General features: G+C 39.9%; 1 protein-coding gene across 26 annotated transcripts in view, besides 1 other annotated feature; it reads left to right on the forward strand.

Annotated features, from left to right (window-relative positions):
- The window catches only part of RABGAP1L (RAB GTPase activating protein 1 like), an 835789-nt gene that overhangs the window by 734994 nt on the left and 79181 nt on the right, over nt 1-21614 (forward strand). The window lies entirely within an intron of this gene.
- Nucleotides 7383-7884: an enhancer, noted in NCBI's record as "H3K27ac hESC enhancer chr1:174871033-174871534 (GRCh37/hg19 assembly coordinates)". NCBI's record gives its function as "activates a minimal SCP1, AML or CMV promoter by ChIP-STARR-seq in naive and primed H9 embryonic stem cells {active_cell/tissue: H9 hESC(naive and primed)}" and the evidence as "EXISTENCE:reporter gene assay evidence [ECO:0000049][PMID:30033119]".

Below are 21614 nucleotides of genomic sequence, written 5' to 3' on the forward strand. Positions count from 1 at the left end.
AGGAAAGAGAAGGCTGGAAAATAAATATATTTTATCTAAGAGGGCATGACTGAGTTGGCTAAGCTTTCAATTTCATTTTTCTCTTAGGAAAGACTTTCACCTATTATGTTACAATGTGTGCTCACATTTCCTGATTATGGATCGAAATGGAGCTTGGAGCACTACATTTGGTGCAGGAGAGGACTGTCGAGACTAGAACCAAGTTGGGTTTTTTGTTGTTTTTGTTTGTTTGTTTTGTTTTGTTTTGTTTTGTGTGTGTGTTTTTGAGACAGTTGCTCTGTCGCCCTGGCTGTAGTGCAGTGACACGATCTTGACTCACTGCAACCTCCGCCTCCCAGGTTCAAGCCATTCTCCTGCCTCAGCCTCCCGAGTAGCTGAGATTACAGGTGCTCACCACCATGCCCAGATAATTTTTGTATTTTTAGTAGAGACGAGATTTCACCATGTTGGCCACGCTGGTCTCAAACTCCTGACCTCAAGTGATCTGCCCACCTCGGCCTCTTAAAGTGCTGGGATTACAGGCGTGAGCCACCGTGCCTGGCCCCAAGTTGTTTGTTAACAGACACCTGCCAAAAGACGAGGACTTCCTCTGAACCCTTATCAGGTCAAAACATGGTAGATATTCTACTAAAATTGGTCAAATAAGTAAATGAAATAAATGAATGAAAATTATTCATTCTTTCAAGTTTGTTTGGAGAAAATAATGGAAACCATTCAACTTGAGAATAAAGTGTTTAAAATATTTATAGGCTGTACAAATTTGAAGTGCTATTAGTATCCCACTATTAAGTGCCACTTGTTACATTCCCCTAGATAATCTAGAAGGGGCAAACAAATAAAAATAATTTAAGACAAAAGTAATAATTCCACCCAGGGTGAAATGGCATTCAGCCTATTCTAATTCTTTTTTTTTTTTTTTGCTTTTGGAAGTTTTTTTTTATTATTATACTTTAAGTTCTAGGGTACATGTGCACAACGTGCAGGTTTGTTACATATGTATACATGTGCCATGTTGATGTGCTGCAACCATTAACTTGTCGTTTACATTAGGTATATCTCCTAATGCTATCCCTCCCCACTCCCCCCACCCCATGACGGGCCCCAGTATGTGATGTTCCCCTTCCTGGGTCCAAGTGTTCTCATTGTTCAGTTCCCACCTATGAGTGAGAACATGCGGTGTTTGGTTTTTTGTCCTTGTGATAGTTTGCTGAGAATGATGGTTTCCAGCTTCATCCATGTCCCTATAAAGGACATGAACTCATCCTTTTTTGTGGCTGCATAGTATTCCATGGTATATATGTGCCACATTTTCTTAATCCAGTCTTTCATTGCTGGACATTTGGGTTGGTTCCAGGTCTTTGCTATTGTGAATAGTGCCACAGTAAACATATGTGTGCATGTGTCTTGATAGCAGCATAATTTCTAATCCTTTGGGTATATACCCAGTAATGGGATGTCTGGGTCAAATGGTATTTCTAGTTCTAGATCCTTGAGGAATCGCCTCATTGTCTTCCACAGTGGGTGAACTAGTTTCCAGTCCCACCAACAATGTAAAAGTGTTCCTATTTCTCCACATCCTCTCTAGCACCTGTTGTTTCCTGACTTTTTAATGATCGCCATTCTAACTGGTGTGAGATGGTATCTCATTGTGGTTTTGGTTTGCATTTCTCTGATGGCCAGTGATGATGAGCATTTTTTCATGTGTCTGTTGGCTGCATAAATGTCTTCTTTTGAGAAGTGTCTGTTCATATCCTTCACCCACTTTTTGATGGGGTTGTTTTTTTCTTGTAAATTTGTTTGAGTTCTTTGTAGATTCTGGATATTAGTCCTTTGTCAGATGAGTAGATTGTAAAAATTTTCTCCCATTCTGTGGGTTGCCTATTCACTCTGATGATAGTTTCTTCTGCTGTGCAGAAGCTCTTTAGTTTAATTAGATCCCATTTGTCAATTTTGGCTTTTGTTGCCATTGCTTTTGGTGTTTTAGACATGAAGTCGTTGCCCATGCCTATGTCCTGAATGGTATTGCCTAGGTTTTCTTCTAGGGTTTTTATGGTTTTATGTCTAACATTTAAGTCTTTAATCCATCTTGAATTAATTTTTGTATAAGGTATAAGGAAGGGATCCAGTTTTAGCTTTCTATGTATGGCTAGCCAGTTTTCCCAGCACCACTTATTAAATAGGGAATCCTTTCCCCATTTCTTGTTTTTGTCAGGTTTGTCAAAGATCAGATGGTTGTAGATGTGTGGTATTATTTCTGAGGGCTCTGTTCTGTTCCATTGGTCTATATCTCTGTTTTGGTACCAGTACCGTGCTGTTTTGGTTACTGTAGCCTTGTAGTATAGTTTGAAGTCAGGTAGCATGATGCCTCCAGCTTTGTTCTTTTGGCTTAGGATTGACTTGGCGATGCAAGCTCTTTTTTGGTTCTGTATGAACTTTAAAATAGTTTTTTCCAATTCTGTGAAGAAAGTCATTGGTAGCTTGATGGGGATGGCATTGAATCTGTAAATTACCTTGGGCAGTATGGCCATTTTCATGATATTGATTCTTCCTATCCATGAGCATGGAATGTTCTTCCATTTGTTTGTGTCCTCTTTTATTTTGTTGAGCAGTGATTTGTAGTTCTTGAAGAGGTCCTTCACATCCCTTGTAAGTTGGATTCCTAGGTATTTTATTCTCTTTGAAGCAATTGTGAATGGGAGTTCACTCATGATTTGGCTCTCTGTTTGTCTGTTATTGGTGTATAAGAATGCTTGTGATTTTTGCATATTGATTTTGTATCCTGAGACTTTGCTGAAGTTGCTTATTAGCTTGAGGAGATTTTGGGCTAAGACGAGCCTACTCTAATTCTTTAATCTATGTAGTAGTTGCTTATATATTAAACGTGTGAAAATCGTATGAAATCATTGTTAATTCATACTGAAATATTCACTTACCTCTGATCTATTTAAGCCAAGCTAATAGGTTTCAGCCTGTTTCTGACCTCAGGAGCCTGGACCCACCTATGCTAAGATAAAAGCCATGATGACTGTGGCAACAGTGTTGCTGACATTGTACTGACCACATTGCTGTAAGTGTCTCCATGGCACATCTGCTTCTGTAGATTCAGTCTTACTCTGCTTTTAGAGACTTTCCCATATAACACTAAAATGTACTTGCCTGTTAGTATGTTTGATATTCTTCAAAGGGAGAGAATTGGCCTGGCATGGTGGCTCACACCTGTAATCCCAGCACTTTGGGAGGCCGAGGCAGGCAGATCACCTGAGGTAAGAAGTTTGAGACCAGCCTGGACAACATAGTGAAACCCTGTCTCTAGTAAAAATTAGCCAGTTTGGTTGCAGGTGCCTGTAATCCCAGCTACTCGGGAGGCTGAGGCAGGAGAATCTCGAACCCGGGAAGTTGAGGTTGCCGTGAGCTGAGATCACATCACTGGACTCCAGCCTGGATGACAGAGTGAGACTCCATCTCAAAAAAAAAAAAAAAAAAGAAAAGGGAGATAATTAATTTCATTTCTTCATTCTCACTGACTTCAATGAGGAGATTTAGAATAGGAAAAGAAAATTAGTATACGAACAAGTTGAGACGAAACAGAACTGACATAAGAAGAACATAAAAAGCAGAGTCCATAAATCTTGCAGTATGGTAGCCTAGGTTTCATCTTAATAGCACTAATACAGACACAAAATAAAATGATAGTTTGATGAGGTAAGTACAGTTTTTCAGGCCTGTCTTACAGGTGGTAAATCTGAAGCACAGATTAAGTTACTTGTTCAAGGTCACAGTGCTGGAAAATGGTAAAGTCAGGATTTGAGCACAGGCTTTCTGGCTCTAGGGCTGTGCTCTTAATAATTATTCCAAATGCATGGCGTTTGTGCTTTGTACTCCCTTATTAGATGTTACATACAATATTCTTTTGTTTATATATCCCTTTGATGATCAGAATCTGAACTTTTCTAAACTGTAACAGTTTCTTAGGAAGGTGATAAGTTAGACGACAAATCTATAATTAGAGTTTCTTTTACTTTTGGAGCATGGATTTTGAAAGTGAATGATTAACGATGATTGACATTCTTATCAGATTTTTATTTACTTTCTTTTAACTATTTGGATAATAAAGTAATGATGCTTGCCTGAATAACAGCAGTTCTCTGTTGGGCTTTGTGCTTTATACATGGAAAGAGGGCCTTGGTCTATTGCAAGGATACTAAACAGTGACTGTATAGCATGTTAACAATGTTTTAATAAATATTTTTAGCAATTATGAGCTAACTTAAGCCTTTTTAAAATGGAATATTTATTATTTACTTTGTGCCTAGTAATGTGTTAGTGCTAAGACTAAAAGAGCAAAGCAAATGCCATTCCTGCCTTCAGAGTGCTTACAGTCTAGCAGGCAAGATTGATATTAAACACATATTCAAAAAAAGGGTATGAGTTTTTTAAAGAGAGGTAGTGCTAAATCCTCTGGGAACATCCTCTGATCTCATCTAAATTTGAAACCCTAGGTTCTCTGGGAATCTATAGCAAGAACTAATCCAAGTTAGGGGTCAGAGAAGATGTGAAGAATGAGTAGGATTTAGTCAGCTGAAGAGAATGAGGCTATGGGGAAGCGTGTTCTAGGAAGAGGAGAAATATATTCAGCCTCAGAGATGTGCAAAAAAGAACTTAAACTGCAGAGACTTTCGGGAGAAAACAAACAAACAAAAAAACCGAGCAGACAAAAAAAATGCTTAAAGAAATTAAATAAATGGATCGTAGAGTGCAAGGTGAGGAGAGCTCAGGAGCTCAGGAGGGGCTTAAAATTAGGCTGGAGAAGACGTTAGGAACTAAATTATAAAGAACCCTGCTATTTATGATAAGGAATTGGGCTTTATGCAAAGGGCAGTGGAAAACTGTTCAAAAGATTTTAAGCAGGGCAGTCATTAATTTTGTGGCTCTATCAAAAACATTAGGCCAATTATTTAAACTTGGGCAATTCATTTGATCTTCCTAGTTCTAAATTTTCTCATTTTTAGAGTAGGGGACTTGGATTAGCCCTTTCAGATCAAAGATCCCTAATGTGAGTTTATGCACCCTGAGAGGATCATGTCTAGAAAGAAGTAACAGAGTATCCTCATCCATCCTGCTCTCTGTTCTTTTCCTTTTCCTTTCAGATTTCAATATCAATTTTCTCATGAGGCGTATTTTAGTCAGTATTTTGGAGAAGGCATTCTAATGACTCCTATGTCTATTTTTTTGAAATAAAATTCATTTTGTCATTATAAAGGTAATATAGAAAATTTTTTAAGCATAGAAAATGAAGAAGAAAGCAATCATAATCATGGATGTCATGCTACTGAAACCCTTGGGATATAACTAGAATGGAAGTCAGGCTGGTAAAGCAAATCCCATGAGAGGAGAGAGTGATTACTGGGAGAGGGGAATGTTTGGGGGGGTAGAATAATCTTCAGATTCCTGAAGGACTATAGTGCAGAAGTTGGAATAGAAGACAGAATTATGGTTAATGAGTAGAAGCTACTAGAGATACAGATTTTAACTCAATTTGGGAAAAACAAAACTAGCAATTGCAACTGTCCACCAGAAAATTAGTGAATTCCTCTGAATGCCCATAGGTATTCTAGTAAATTACTACATGTACTTCAAGGTTGCCAGTAGAAGGTGTTCAGGTTCTTGGCATCTCGAACAAAGAATTAGACAAAATGCACACACAACGTGAGGAAACCAAAGCACGGATTTACTGAAAACAAAAGTACACTCCACAGTGTGGGAGCGGGCCTGATCATAAGAGCCCCGCTTACAGAATTTTCTGGAGTTTCAATACTGTAGAGGTTTCCCATTGGTTACTTGGCGTATATTCTATGTAAATGAAGAGAATGAAGTCACAGAGTCATTTACTCAGACTGCGCCCTATTTTAAATGGAGAGGATGTTGCTTGGTGTGTGTGGTCTATGTAAATGGAGAGGATGAATGTGAAGTTACAAAGTGTAAATGTTGTGGAGAGGATGAAGTGGAGTTGCAAAGCCATTCACATTCCTGTCATTACTGAAGTGCTTTCACTTGATATAATTTTAGGACATTAGTGTGGATCGGGCTTGTGTTCCCTGCCTCCAGGCCCTATTCTCCTGCCTCAGCCTCCTGAGTAGCTGGGATTACAGGTGTGAGCCACTACACCCAGCTAATTTTTCTATTTTTAGTAGAGACAGGGTTTCACCATGTTGGCCAGGCTAGTCTTGTACTCCTTGCCTCAAGTGATCCACCTGCATTGGCCTCCCAAAGTGCTGGGGTTACAGGTGTGAGCCACTGTGCCCAGGCTGAATTTGAATGTTGACCTGTCTTGCTAGGTTGACGAAGTTCTCCTGGATGATATCCTGAAGGATGTTTTCCAACCTGGTTATTTTCTCCCCATCTCTTTCAGGTACCCCAGTCAGTCATAGGTTTGTTCTCTTTACATAATCCCATATTTCTCGGAGGTTTTGTTCATTCCTTTTTATTCTTTTTTCTCTATTCTTGTTTGCCTGTCTTATTTCCGAAAGATAGTCTTCAAGCTCTGAAATTCTTTCCCCTCTTTGGTCTATTCTGCTATTTATACTTGTGATTGCATTGTGAAGTTCTCATGTTGTGTTTTACAGCTCCATTAGTTAGTTATGTTCCTCTCTAACCTGGCTATTCTGGCTATCAGCTCCTGTATTGTTTTATCATGATTCTTAGCTTTGTTGCATTGGGTTATGTATTAATTCGTTCTCACACTGCTAATAAAGACATACTCGAGACTAGAGAATTGATAAAGGAAAGAAGTTTAATTGACTCACAGTTCAGAATGGCTGGGGAGGCCTCAGGAAACTTACAATAATGGCAGAAGGGGAAGCAGACACGTTCTTCTTCACATGGTGGTAGGAGAGAGAATGAGTGCCCGGTAAAGGGAGAAGCCCCCCTTATAAAACCATCAGATCTCATGAGAACTGTCTGTCATGAGAACAGGATGAGGGAAACTACCCCCATGATTCAGTTATCTCCACCTGAGCCCTCCCATGACACCTGGGGATTATGAGAACTACAATTCAAGATGAGATTTGGGTGGGGACACAGCCAAACCATATCAGGTTACAACATGCTCCTTTAGCTTAGTGAAGTTCATTACCACCCACCTTCTGAAGCCTACTTCTGTCATTTCAGCCATCTCAGCCTCAACCTAGTTCTGTGTTCTTGCTGGAGAAGTGTTAACGGTCATTTGGAAGAGAACAGACTCTCTGGCTTTTTTGAGGTTTTAGCATTTTTGCATTGATCGTTTCTCATCTTTGTGGGCTTATCTACCTTTGATTTTTGAGGTTGCTGACCTTTGAGTGAGGTTTTTGTGGGGTCTTTTTTGTTGATATTGTTGTAGTTTTCTGTTTGTTTTTCTTTTTAACAATCAGGCCACTCTATCTATCGTAGGACTGCTGTGGTTTGCTGGGGGTCCAATCCAGACCCCAGTTGCCTCAGTTTTTCCTGTACCTGGAGGTATCACCAGTGTAGGCTGAGAAAAAGCAAAGGTGGCAGCTAGCTCCTTCCACTGGAAGCTCCATCCTAGGGGGATACTGACCTTTTGCCAGCCCACACACACCTGTAGGAGGTGGCTGAAGACCCACATTGGGAATTGTCACCCAGTCAGGAGGAACGGGATGAGGGACCCACCCAAAGAAGCAGTCTGGCTGCTTTTTGGTAGAGCAGGTATGCTGTGTTGGAGGAGGTCCCTTCCTTGTTTGGACCACCTATATTCTCCATAGCTGGCAGACTAGAGCAGCTGACTTGACTGAACCATAGAGGTGGTGGCTGCCTCTCCCCCCCAGGAACTCAGAGTTGTCTCTGATGGACTCTAATCCACTGCCATTGGCTGGCTGGGATTCCACGCCAGTCGGTCTTAACTTGTGAGGTGCTGTGGAAGTGGGGCCCACAGAACGTCGCTGCTTGACTCCCTGGATTCAGCTCCCTTCCTAGGGATATATACAGATGGATTTCCCACCTTTCTGGGAATCCTGGGGCTGGTGTATTTAAAACTCCTGGGTCTCTGCATGTACCTAAGTGGCTACTCTGCCGTGACTCCACATAGCTCTGTGTATCAGACCCAAGGCCCTGTTGGCATGGTCTCATGAGGGGACTCTCCTGATAGGTGAGTTGCAAAGATCTGTGGGAGAAGTGTGGTTTCCCAGGTGGGGTTGCACAATCACTGTTTCCCTTGGCTGGGGGTGGAGTTTCTTTTGGCTCTATGCCACTCCTGGGTGGGCTGTCACTGCCCTGCCTGCCCCACACTACTTTTCTTTGTTCTCTCTGGGTCAGGTGGTTTGCCTAGTCAGTCCCAGTGTAACCACCTGGATATTTCGGTGCTGAATTCACTCTTCCTTTTTCATTCGTCTCCATGAGTGTAATGGACCACAGCTGTTTCTAATCGGCCATCTTGGATTGATCTCTGAAGCTAATCTAAAAGGTGAGGAAACTAAGGTTATGGGAAGTTAAGGAAACTGGCTAAGACATCAGGACTCAGTGACAAAGCTGGGATTTATATTTCAAATTCAGCAGCTGTAATTTTTTTTCCATTGTGTGCATCTTCTAAAATAAATAATCCTGTATATTAGAGATATAGAGGCAACAGACCAATTCTTGTTTCCTGGAGAGTTTGGGAAACTTCCTAGAATTCCAAGACACACAAGTACCATAAGTGTAAATATCCTTCCAAAGCCATTTGCCTTCACCTGGGTGCCTAAAGCTTCAATGCCCAGATATGCCATAGAAATACAGATCATTCTGTAGCTGGAGTTGTCCCATTACAACTCTGGGTTTATGAAATGTGCATCTGGTGAAATACATGAGCCTTTGTCTTCAGATTATGAGTGGAATGTGATAATATAAAGAGAAACTTCTTTTAATACAGATAATGCATTTTTCTTTATCACAGACCTTCCACAAATTCTGCTGTTCTATTTGGGTATTTGACAATGGACTTTGTAATGTATGACAGTGCATATGGGAAAATAAAATGTTCATGTGGGGTATGGGGAAAGAGAATTCTCAGCAAATGAATTGGAATTATAATATAAAGCAGTATAGCATTAGGATTTGAATATAAAATCATATAAAGCCATATAACACTGGATATAGGTGGTTAAGAAGTGGATAAAAAAATTTCATGGCTGAGTGCGGTACTAACGCCTGTAATCCCAGCACTTTGGGAGGCTGAGGCGGGTGGATCACCTGAGGTCGGGAATTTGAGACCAGCCTGACCAACATGGAGAAACATCATCCCTACTAAAAATACAAAATTAGCTGGACATGGTAGCGCATGCTTGTAATCCCAGCTACTTGGGAGGCTGAGGCAGGAGAATCGCTTGAAGCCGTGAGGTGGAGGTTTTGGTGAGCTGAGATCGCGCCATTGCACTCCAGCCTGGGCAACAAGAGCGAAACTCTGTCTCAAAAGAAAAAAAAAAAAAAAAAATTCCTAGGGAGATTTCTGATTTTAAAATGGTGACATGGAAGCAAGCTGCCTCCACTCTCCCCTCCCCCCACAGAAAACCAAAAACAAATATATAGCGCCAAGATTTTTGCTAGCAACAACTCTGAGCAGTCAGTAGGAGAACTGAACTTCCATATCCAAGGTTCTGCTCTCTCCCCCATTCTGCCTGGCAATAAGCTTGAGGAAAATCTTTCCCCAACTTAGAGTTTCTACACTAGAAAAACTGAGATTGAGGCCAGGTGTGGTGGCTCATGCCTATAATCCCTGTACTTTGGTGGCTAAGGTGAGAGGATCACTTGAGCCTGGGGGTTCAAGGTTCCAGTGAACTATGGTTGTACCACTGCACTCCAGCCTGGGTGACTGAACAAGACTATGTCTCTAAAACAAAAAGAGAGATTGAGACCATCAACCATCTTTTCGCACCATACTGGGTTACCTGGCAGGAGACCTGTTCTTGCCTTAACCCACAGGAAGCATCATGACTGCCTAAAGGGAGGAATATTCCCCCAAGGACAGGCAGACAAAGGGGAGAAATGGGACTATCATCCCTAGCTCTGAAAACTCTGCTTTGTAACTAGGCCAAAGGAGATGCCACATAAAAGTGGCTGTTCAGTAGCTCTATTCTATAGGAGGTACATTTCTTTCTTTCTTTTTTTCTTTTCTTTTTTTTTAGGGAGGAGGGGTGTCTTCCTCTGTCACCCAGGCTGGAATGCAGTGGCGTGAACACAGCTCACTGCAGCCTCAACTCCCTGGGTTCAAGCAGTCCTCCTACCTCAGCCTCCTGAGTATTGGGACTACAGGTGGGTGCCACCATGCCCAGCTAATTTTTAAAATTTGTTTGTAGAGACGGGGGTCTCACCATGTTGCCAAGGCTGGTCTCAAACTCCTGGGCACAAGGTATCCTCCTACCTCAGCCTCTCAACTTGCTGGGATGACAGGCATGAGAAGAGAGTGGTATATTTCATAGGTTCCTTGGACAGGAACCTCTAGCCAGCCTTCTCACACTGCTGGGATAATCTCTTTGGGAACTCCCTAGTTTGGGACAGGCAGCACTCCAATCATGCACTAGCGTCAAGGTGAACCTGGGCTTTAAGGTGCCACAAGAGCCAAAAAGGAGGAAGTGACCTAGTAGTAAAGATTTGCTAAGGAACTATATCTAATAAAAAACAAAACAAGCCAGACAGAAAATACTGAAATAAATAACTAATTCTTCAATGCAAATACTAGAATAAATAACTAATCCTTCAGTGCAAAAACCATGACCTTTCCAAAGAGACAGAGCAACAATTCAGTCACTAGCCTTAAGTGATGATTTGTAAGATCTGTGACCTAGCATTCAAAATGGCAATTTTAAGGAAACTCAGTGATCACCATCATAACAAAGAAGAGCAATTCAGAAATTTATCAGAGAAGTTTAGCAAAGATTGAAATAACAAAAAATTAAATGGAAATTTTAGAACTAAAGAATACCTTTCCTGAACAGAAGACTTCATTAAAGGCTCTCAACAGTAGAATGGACTAAACAGAGGAAAAAAAAAATCAGTGAGTTCAAAGACTGTCTGAAAATACACAGAGAAGTCTGGGTGTGGTGGCTCATGCCTGTAATCCCAGCACTTTAGGAGGCCAAGGTGGGTGGATCACTTGAGGTCAGGAGTTCGAGACCAGCGTGGCCAACGTGATGAAACCTCATCTCTACTAAAAATACCAAAATTAGCTGGACATGGTGCCGGGTGCCTGAAATCCCAGCTACTCAGGAGGCTGAGGCAGGAGAATCACTTGACCCCACAAGGTGGAGGTTGTAGTGAGCTGAGATCGCGCCACTGTACTCTAGCCTGGGTAACAGAGTGAGACTCTGTCTAAAAAAAGAAAAAGAAAAAGAAAAAAGAAAATACATGGAGGAGAATAAAGAAAAAGAATGAAAAGGAATAAAGATAGCCTACAATATATAGAAAATTGCCTCAAAAGACCAAATCTTAGAATTACTGGTGTTCAAGAGGGAGCTAAGCAGAACAAGGAAGGGGAAGAAAGCTTATTCATTTCCTTTGAGACAGGATCTCACTCTATCACCCAGGTCGGAGTGCAGTGGCCCCATCTCCACTCACTGCAACCTCTGCCTCCCAGGTTTGAGCCATTCTTCCACCTCAGCCTCCTAAGTAGCTAGGACTGTAGGCATGTGCCAACTCGCCTGGCTAATTTTTTTATTTTTTGGTAGAGACGGGGTTTCACCATGTTAGCCAGGCTGGTCTCGAACTCCTGACTTCAAGTGATCCACCCAATTCAACCTCCCAAAGGGCTGGGAATATAGGTGTGTCCACCATGCCTAGCCTAGAAAGCTTATTCAAAAAATAATAATAGGCTGGGTGCATTGGCTCATGCCTGTAATCCCAGCATTTTGGGAGACCAAGGCAGGCGGATCACATGAGGTCAGGAGTTCGAGACTAGCCTGACCAACAAGGTGAAACCCCATCTCTACTAAAAATACAAAAATTAGCGGGGTGTGGTGGCAGATGCCTATAATCCCAGCTACTGGGGAGGGTGAGGCAGGAAAATTGCTGGAATCTGGGAGGCAGAGGTTGCAGTGAGCTGAGATGGCGCCACTGCACTCTAGCCTGGGTGACAGAATGAGATTCCATCTCAAAAAATAAAAATTAATATAATAATAATAGTAATAGAAAACTTTCCAGGTACAAGAAAGCCTGAGATCACTAAACAGATTCAACCCAAATAAGATATCCCAAGGGATATAGTAAACTCTCAAAGATCAAAGATAAGGAGAGGATTTGAAAAGCAGCAAGAGAAAAGAAGTAAATAACATATGAAAGATCTCCAGTTTGGCTGGCAATAGACTTCTGAATGGAAAACCATATAGGCCATGAGGGGATGAAGTGACATTTTCAAAGTGCTCAAAGAAAAAAAAAAACTTGCATTCAAGAATACTGTACCCAGAAAAACTATCCTTCACATATGAAGGAGATATAAAATCTTTACCAGACAAGTAAAAACTGAATCATTCACCACCACCGGGCTTATCTTACAAGAAATAAAGGGAGCTTTCCCATTTGAAAGAAGAAAGCACTAATGGGTTAAAAAAAAAAAGTTTTCAAGATATAAAACCCACTTGTAAAATTAAGTATACGGATAAACCCAAAATACTCTGTTACTGTCATGTAACAATAGCTACAGCAGCCTGTTAAGAGATAGATAATGAAAAATATATAAAATCAGACAACTGAAAGTCAAAAGGGGGAGGCAGAGTAGAATTTTGTCATGTTTTTTTATTTTGCCTGTTTCTGTTCTTTTATTTGTGATCCAAGATAAGTTGTCTTTTTAATTTTTTTTTAAGATTGGGTCTCATCTGTCACCCAGACTGGACTGCAGTGGCATGATTATGGTTCACTGCAGCCTTGACCTTCTGGGCTCAGGTTATCCTCCCACCTCAGCCTCCCAAGTAGCTGGGACTGCAGGTGTGTGCCACCACACCTGGCTCATTTTTTTGTATTTTTTGTAGAGACATGGTTTTGCCATGTTGCCCAGGCTGGTCACAAACTCCTGGACTCAAATGATCCACCCACCTCGGCCTCCCAAAGTGCTGGGATTACAGACATGAGCCACAACACCTGGCCCCTATGTTGTCATCTTTTAAAAATAATTTGTTATATCTATAAGATGCTTTTTTTTCTCATGATAAGCACAGTGCAAAAAACCTATAATAGATTCACTAAAAATAAAAGCAACAAATTTACTACCTATTAGGTAGGAAGAAAGAAAGGAGTCTCAAAACAACCACAAGACAGGCAACAAGTGGCATTAGTAAATCCTTACTTATCAATAATAACACTGAGTATAAATGGTCTCAGTTCTCCAATTAAAAGCCATACAGTGGCTGAATGGGTAAAGAAACAAGACCCAGCTATATGCTGCCTTCAAGAAACCCATTTCACCTATCAAGACACACATAGACTTAATGTGAAGGGGTTGGGAAAATATATTCTATGCAACTGGAAATGAGCAGGAATAGCTACAATTATATCAGATAAAATAGTACACTAATCAAAGAATGTAAAAAGAGACAAGGTCACTATATAATGATAAAAGGGTCAATTAAGCAAGAGAATATAACAATTGTATATTTTTGCACTCAGCACCAGAGTTCCCAAGTATGTAAAGCAGATGTTAAATCTAAAAGGAGAGGTAAACTGCAATACAGTAATAGTAGGGGATTTTAAGCCCCACTCTCAGTAACAGATGATCCAGACAGAAAATTAGCAAAGAAACAGTAGAGTTAAACTACACACTAAATCTAATAGACCTACCTGACATTTATAGTACATTTCACCCAACTGCTGCAGAATACACATTCTCTTCATCAGCACATGGAATATTCCCCAGAATAGACCATATCTTAGACCACAAAACAAATCTGAACATATTTTTTAAAAAAGAAATCATATCAAGTATCTTTTCCAACCACAATGGAATAAAACTAGAAATCTGTAACATCAAAAATACACAAACACATTAAATAAGTAAGTTAAACAACATATTCTTTTTTTTTTTTTTTTTTTTTTTGAGAGGGAGTCTCACTTTGTTGCCCAGGCTGGAGTACAATGGTGCGATCTTGGCTCACTGCAACCTCTGCCTCCTGGGTTCAAGCAATTCTCCTGCCTCAGCCTCCTGAGTGGCTGGGATTACAGGTGCCCACCACTACACCCGGCTAATTTTTGTATTTTTTGTAGAGATGGGGTTTCACCATGTTGGTCAGGCTGGTCTCAAACTCCCGAACCTCAGGTGATCTGCCCACCTCGGCCTCCCCAAGTGCTGGGATTACAGACGTCAGCCACTGCGCCTGGCCACGAGATATTCTTGAACAACCAATGGGTCAATGAAAGTACTAAAAAGGGGCCGGGCACAGTGGCTCACACCTGTAATCCCAGCACTTTGGGAGGCCGAGGCGGGCAGATCACGAGGTCAGGAGATCGAGACCATCCTGGCTAACATGGTGAAACCCCATCTCTACTAAAAATACAAAAAAAAACCATTAACCAGGTATGGTGGTATGCGCCTGTAGTCCCAGCTAATTGGGAGGCTGAGGCAGGAGAATCTCTTAAACCCAGGAAGCAGAGGTTGCAGTGAGCCAAGATCGCGCCACTCTACTCCAACCTGGGCAACAGAGTGAGACTCTATCTCAAAAAAAAAAAAAAAAAGTACTAAAAAGGAAATTTTTTAAAAGGTTTTTTTTTGTTTGTTTTTGAGAGAAGGTCTTACTCTGTCACCCAGGCTTGAGTGCAGTGTCATGATCTCAGCTCACTGCAAGCTCTACCTCCCAGGCTCAAGTGATCCTCCCACTTCAGCCTCCCAAGTAGCTGGGACTATAGGTATGTGCCACCATACACCTGACTGATTTTTTTAAATATTTGTGGAGATGAAGTATCACTGTGTTGCTCAGGATGGTCTTGAACTGCTGAGCTCAAGCTATCCTCTCACTTTGGCTTCCCAAAATGCTAGGATTATAGGCATGAGCCACTGTGCCCATCCTAAAAATTTTTTGAAACAAATGGAAATGGAATAAAATAAATTAAAACTATGAGAACAATAGAAAAGATCAACAAAGTGAAAGTGGTTTTTATGGAAAGTTAAAATCGAAACTTTAGCTAGACTGAGAAAAAAATAGAGAAGACCCAATAAAATCAGAAACAAAAAAGGAAATATAACAATTGAAACCTCAGAAATACAAAGCATCGTTAGAGACTGTTATGAACAACCTGGAAAACCTAGAAGTGGAGGAATTCCTGAACACATACAACCTACCAAGACTGAACCATAAGAAATAGAAAACTTCAACAAACCAATAACAAGTAGTGAGATCAGCCGGGTGTGGTGGCTCATGCCTGTAATCCCAGCACTTTGGGAGGCTGAGGTGGGCAGATCACGAGGTCAGGAGATCGAAACCATCCTAGCTAACACGGTGAAACCCCGTCTGTACTAAAAATACAAAATATTAGCTGGGCATGGTGGCGGGTGTCTGTAGTCCCAGCTACTTGGGAGGCTGAGGCAGGAGAATGGCGTAAACCTGGGATGCGGAGCTTGCAGTGAGCTGAGATTTCGCGACTGCACTCCAACCTGGGTGACAGAGTGAGAGTCTGTCTCAAAAAAAAACACAAACAAACAAGTAATGAGATCAAAGCTGTAGTTTAAAGTCTCCCATCAAAGAGATGGAGATGCAAGGAGGGCTCAGTATATGCAAATAAATAAGTGTGGTACATCACATGGACAGAACCAATAACAAGAACCATTTGATTATTTCAATAGATGCCAAAAAAGCATTTGGTAAAATTCAGCATCCCTTTATGATAAAGCCCCTCATCAAAATGGAAGTAGAAGAAATGATTATGTACCTTAATAATAATGGAATTATTATACCTCAATAATAAAGACCATAAATGACAAACCCACAGGTAACATTGTACTGACTGGGAAAAGTTGAAGCCTTTCCTCCTAGGACCAGAACAAGACAAGGATGCCCACTTATACCACTTTTTTTCAACGTAACAGTGGAAGTCCTGGCCACAGCAATTAGGCAAAGGAAAGAAATAAAGGACATCCAAATTGGAAAGGAAGAAGTCAAATTAGCCTTGTTTGTAGATGACATGATCTTACTCATAGAAAAACCTAAAGACACCACCACAAAACTGATAGAACTGATAAACAAATTCAGTAAACTTGCAGCATACAAAATCAACATACAAAAATCATAATTGTAAGTCAGAGACGATCTGTGCAAGTATCTGTTTGAGTCCCTGTTTTCAGTTATTTTGGGTATATACCTAGGAGTGGAATTGCTTGCTTAAATCATAATTCTATATTTAACTATTAAGGAACCACCATACTGTTTTCACAGCAGCTCAACCATTTTACATTATCACCAGCAATGCAGAAGGTTCTAATTTCTCCACTCTTCACTAACATATGTTATTTTCCATTTTTTGATTCTAGCCATCCTAGTTTGTGTAAAGTGGCATCTCATTGTGATTCTGATTGCATTTCCTTAATGACTAATTATGTTGAGTATCTTTTCTCGTGCTTATTAGCCATTTGTATATCTTCTTTGGAGAAATATCTATTCAGATTTTTTACCTATTTTTAAATTTTTTTATTTTTATTGTCAAGTAAACTTTTTTATATATTATGGACAGCAAATCCTTATCAGCTATATGACACAGATATTTTCTTCCGTTTTGCAGGTTGTCTTTTCACTTTCAAGAAAGTGTTTTTGTTAAAAAAGTTTTAAACTTGCTTGAAGTCTCACTATTTTTGCTTTTTTTAAAGAAAGCAAACCTTTATGTAATAATGAGTGCAAACGGCTTTGTTGACACTTACAGAAATAATAGCTAAATTTAATGCAAATTTGTGTGAATTGAATAACTTTGTTACATTTTCTAAGCTTTATCTTTCTATGAAATAGGGTCCCATTCACCTATAAAGGATATTTTGGGATTTTTCACTAAAACTTATAAAATCTGAGAATGTGCTTAGGAGACTGGAGATAAATTTTGTGAGCCTATTATCTAGTTAGTAATGACACCATCTTATTAAATTTCAAGGTGTTAAATATAGCCCATTCAAATACTCGTATATGTAATCTAATTATTATTGTTATAGAAGTTAAAGCTCCCTTGCTGAACCTATGATTCTTCTAAGCTGCTGAACATAGAGACACATGACTGAGCAGTAGGAGGTGCTTATTGCTTCCAGAGTTGCACTATGCTTGCCTTGATGGCGTAGAATGGCCATAAAGATGACTGTGGAAACAGTGATTTCTAAACTCTTCTCAGAGTTTTGGATATGCTCCATATCCAAATGAAACAGATGACTGTGTTCTGTTCTGTAGATTTTACTACTTTTCTCTGCCAGTAGCCTCTCACATTTGTCACGCAATAGGAACCAAGCAAGAGAATCTGGACAGATCAGCTCACATCTATTGCCCTGTTAAAGTAACTCAAAGATATGCCCAAAGAATTGGATACTTGTTTCATCATTGGATAAGCTGGAACTGTCTATAAGTGGCTAGGATGTATCATGCCTTATCACAAGAAATAGCAGAAAAAAAATATATAGTCTTTGATTTCATTAAATTCCTTTGTTTGTTTGTTTGTTTGTTTATTTTTGGACACAGGGTCTCTCTCTGTCACCCAGGCTGGAGTGCAGTGGTGGTGCTAACATATCTCACTGCAGCCTTGAACTCTTGGCTGAAGCAATCCTCCTGCCTCAGCCTTCTGAGTAGCTGGGACTACCAGTGCATGCCACCATGCCCAGCTAACTTTTTCATTTTTTTGTAGAAATGGGGCCTCACTTTGTTGCTCAGGCTGTTCTTGAACTCCTGGCCTCATGTGATCCTCTCACCTTGGCCTCCTAAAGTGCTGGGATTGCAGGCCAGATGAGCCACTGCACCCAGCCAATTTCACAAAGTTTCAGTATTCTCAGAAAAGAACATACTCATATCTAGAAATGTCTTATGACTTAAAAAGCAAAGTATAACCATGTGCATATTAATAGGGCACAAAGTGAATCTGGTAGAGTGCCAGCTGTGTCTAATCTGATAAGTTTATTTCATATGGAAAATGTGTGTCAATCTTAGATGAGGCTAATTTGTTGAAAATAACTGAATTCTGGTCTCTTTTAGATTGTCAGAAAGGGATTCATTTAACAGTAAAATTTAATCCAGATATATGTAGTCATATGTTTTTAAACTTTTTAAACCCTGAAAATTATTGAAATATGTGCCATTTTAATAGTATCAGCTTCTGATTGCTTTTATTCCATCATCATGTGATATACTCCTCATTAAGCAGCACCAGTAACCAGAGTTTAATTATTGTGTAGCACTGTGTGAAAGCTTTTGTCTCTTTATCATATATGGCACAGACAGTACTCTTGGTTGTAAGTAGGGATATCCAGCATAGTTTACTGTCTACATGCTTATTTCTTTAGCTTTTTTTTTTTTTGAGATGAAGTCTCACTCTGTCGCCCAGGTTAGAGTGCAATGGCACAATCTCAGCTCACTGCAGCCTCCGCCTCCAAGGTTCAAGCAATTCTTCCACCTCTGCCTCCCGAGTAGCTGGGATTACAAGTGTATGCCACCACGCCTGGCTAATTTTTGTATTTTTAGTAGAGACAGGGTTTCACCACATTGGCCAGACTGGTCTCGAACTCCTGACCTCAAGTGATCTGCCCACCTTGGCCTCCCAAAGTGCTAGGATTACAGGTGTGAGCCACTGCGCCCGACCTCTACATGCTTATTTCTAAGAGCTATATAATAAAACAATATAACTATACAGATTTTGATGGTTTCCTCCAGAGCCTTTGCCTTGCTTATCATTGCTGTGTGAGAAGGGTAGCAGCACTAAACCTTGTGTTTCTAGAGATAGAAGTTTGTCCCTGTGTACTGTCGATTAGGACAGGCAGTTTTTCTTGTCTTGCCTGAAGAAAAACGTAACTTTTTTGAGATACAATCTTTCTGATAAGGTAAATATGTTTAGCAAAGCCTTATTTTGTGGAAATTTTCCAAGGCTTGACCCTGTAACTTCTATAGTAGAGAAAAGGGCAGTGCTTTCAAACTTTTAGCTCTTCTCCTGGTTGGTTGCCTGCCATGGTCGTATTTTAAATTGAGTAGCAAGTAAATAAATACTTAGCTTCTCTCTATAAATGAGCTGTCTGCAAAGGGTTTCTTTGTACTATATGACTGTTGTAAAGTTTCAATGGAGTAATTATAGGAAAAGAAAAAGAACAGATTTTTACTTAGTGCTGTGTTAATGCCAGTGTTTGTATGCAATAAAAATGACTGGCCACTCATTGTTTCAGAAAATAGATCTTAACACTCAAAAGAAACAAATTCTAAAACTTTAATAACTTTGAGGAACACTCTTTAAATACCTAGACTTTAGATACATACTATTGTCCAGGATAGATTTCCCAGCATATTTATCTACAACAGATCTTAAATATTGAAAACTAACAGAAGTTGTTGCATAAATTTTTCTGCAATTAGATAAGAACATTTTTATGGCTGGTCTGCAAACAGTCCGTAAAGATAGTTGCTGCCTATCATACTTAGAGTTAAGGGATGAACTCCATTCTTTATTTTCTAAACTGTGATTGCATTATCCTAAAATCCAGTGGTTTTTCTCACATACAGTCTAGGATTGAGAGGTCCAAGGCCAGTAGGGTGCCTCTGCCTCCTCTCAAGCTGCTTCCATTGATGGGTTCAGGGATTTGTTAGAGCTTTTACCATCTCCCTGCCAACAGGGGAAAGGAAGAGAGAATACATCCCTTCCGTTTTAGGGGCACAAGTATCAAATGACATATATCACTTTTATTTACCAACCAGACCTAATCATATGGCCATACCAAGCTGCAGGGATGGCTGGGAATGATCATCTTTAGATAGATAACCACAAGCCCAATTGACAGGAAGGATTATTACTAAAGGAAGAAGCAGAGTGGATACTGAAGTACAACTTTAGTAGTCTCTGCCACAGTAATACCTCTAAATGCATACATATGAGTCTGTAGGAACAGTCCTACAAAGGACTGGTGAAGCTTTATATTAATATATAGTGGTTTCCCTTTCTTTACTGTCTGCAGAAAGATTCTGGCTAGATTTTTTTTTTAAACTTTTTCAACAGCCTTATAAAGGTATAAGTTATATAGTATAAAATTCACCTGTTTGTGCAATTTAGCAGAGAGTTCACAGAGTTATGCATCCATCATCACATCCAGTTTCAGAGTATTTTGAACACCTCCCTAAAATTCCTTCATGCTCATTTGCAGTCAGCCCTCATCCTACCCCCCAGATCCATTCACCCCTAATCTGCTTTTATATAAATGGAATGTATGTATAAATGGAACCATACAGTATTTAGTCTTTTGTACTTGGCTTCTTTTACTTGGCATAATGATTTTGAGGTTAATCTCTGCTATAGTAAATAACAGTTATTTCTTCTTTTTTGTTGCATAATAGTAGCTTGTTCCTTTTCGTTGCATAGTGCATTGTATGGATAGCCCACATTTTGTTTATCCATTTACCAGTTGATGGACTTTTTGCTTGTTTCTAGTTTTTGGCTACTATGAATAATGCTCCTATGAATGTTCCCCACAAGTTTTTCTGTGAACATGTGTTTTCATTTCTCTTGGGTTGATGCCTAGGAGTGAAATTGCTGAGTATAGTAAGTTTATGTTTAACTTTTAAGAAATTGCCATACTATTTTCCAAAGTGGCTATAACATTTTATATTCCCACCAGTTATGTATAAGGATTCCAGTTTCTCCATATCCTCAACAACACTTGATGTCAATCATTTTTGTAGTAGTATCTCATTTGAGGTTTTTATTTATATTTTCTAATGGTGTTGAGCCCCTTTTCATGCCCTTTATATATTTTCTTTGGTAAAATGTCTGTTCAGAGTTTTTGCCCTTTTTTCTTTTGTTTTTTAGACAGTCTTGCTCTGTCACCAGGCTGGAATGCAGTGGCGTGATCTCAGCTCACTGCAACCTCTGCCTCGCAGGTTCAAGCGATTCTCCTGCCTCAGCCTCCCGAGTAGCTAGGACTGCAGGCACACGCCACCACGTCCAGCTAATTTTTGTATTTTTAGTAGAGATGGGGTTTCACCATGTTGGCCAGGATCATCTCAATCTCTCGACCTCATGATCCGCCCACCTCGGCCTCCCAAAGTGCTGGGATTATAGGCGTGAGCCACCACTCCCAGCCTTTGCCCATTTTTAAATTGGGTTATTTGTCTTCCTATTGAGTCATGAGAGTTCTTTATATATTATAGAAATAAGTCCTTTATGACATATATGATTTATAAATATTTTTTCCCAATCTGTGGCTTTTTAAAAATTAATGGTGTGTTTTGAAAAGCAAAGGTTTTAATAACTTAGCCATTTTTTTCTTTTATGGATTATGCTTTTGGTGTCATCTAATAAATCTTGGCCTAATCCAAGACTGCAAAGACTTTCTCTTATGTTTTCTTCTAAATGTTTTATAGTTTTCACTGTTATATTTAAGTCTATAATAAATTTTTCTTTAGTTTTTTTTTTTTTTTTGGTATGGTATGAGGTAAGGGTCTATGTACATTTTT

The sequence above is a fragment of the Homo sapiens genome, chromosome 1, assembly GCF_000001405.40.
Source record: "Homo sapiens chromosome 1, GRCh38.p14 Primary Assembly".
NCBI lineage: Eukaryota > Metazoa > Chordata > Mammalia > Primates > Hominidae > Homo > Homo sapiens.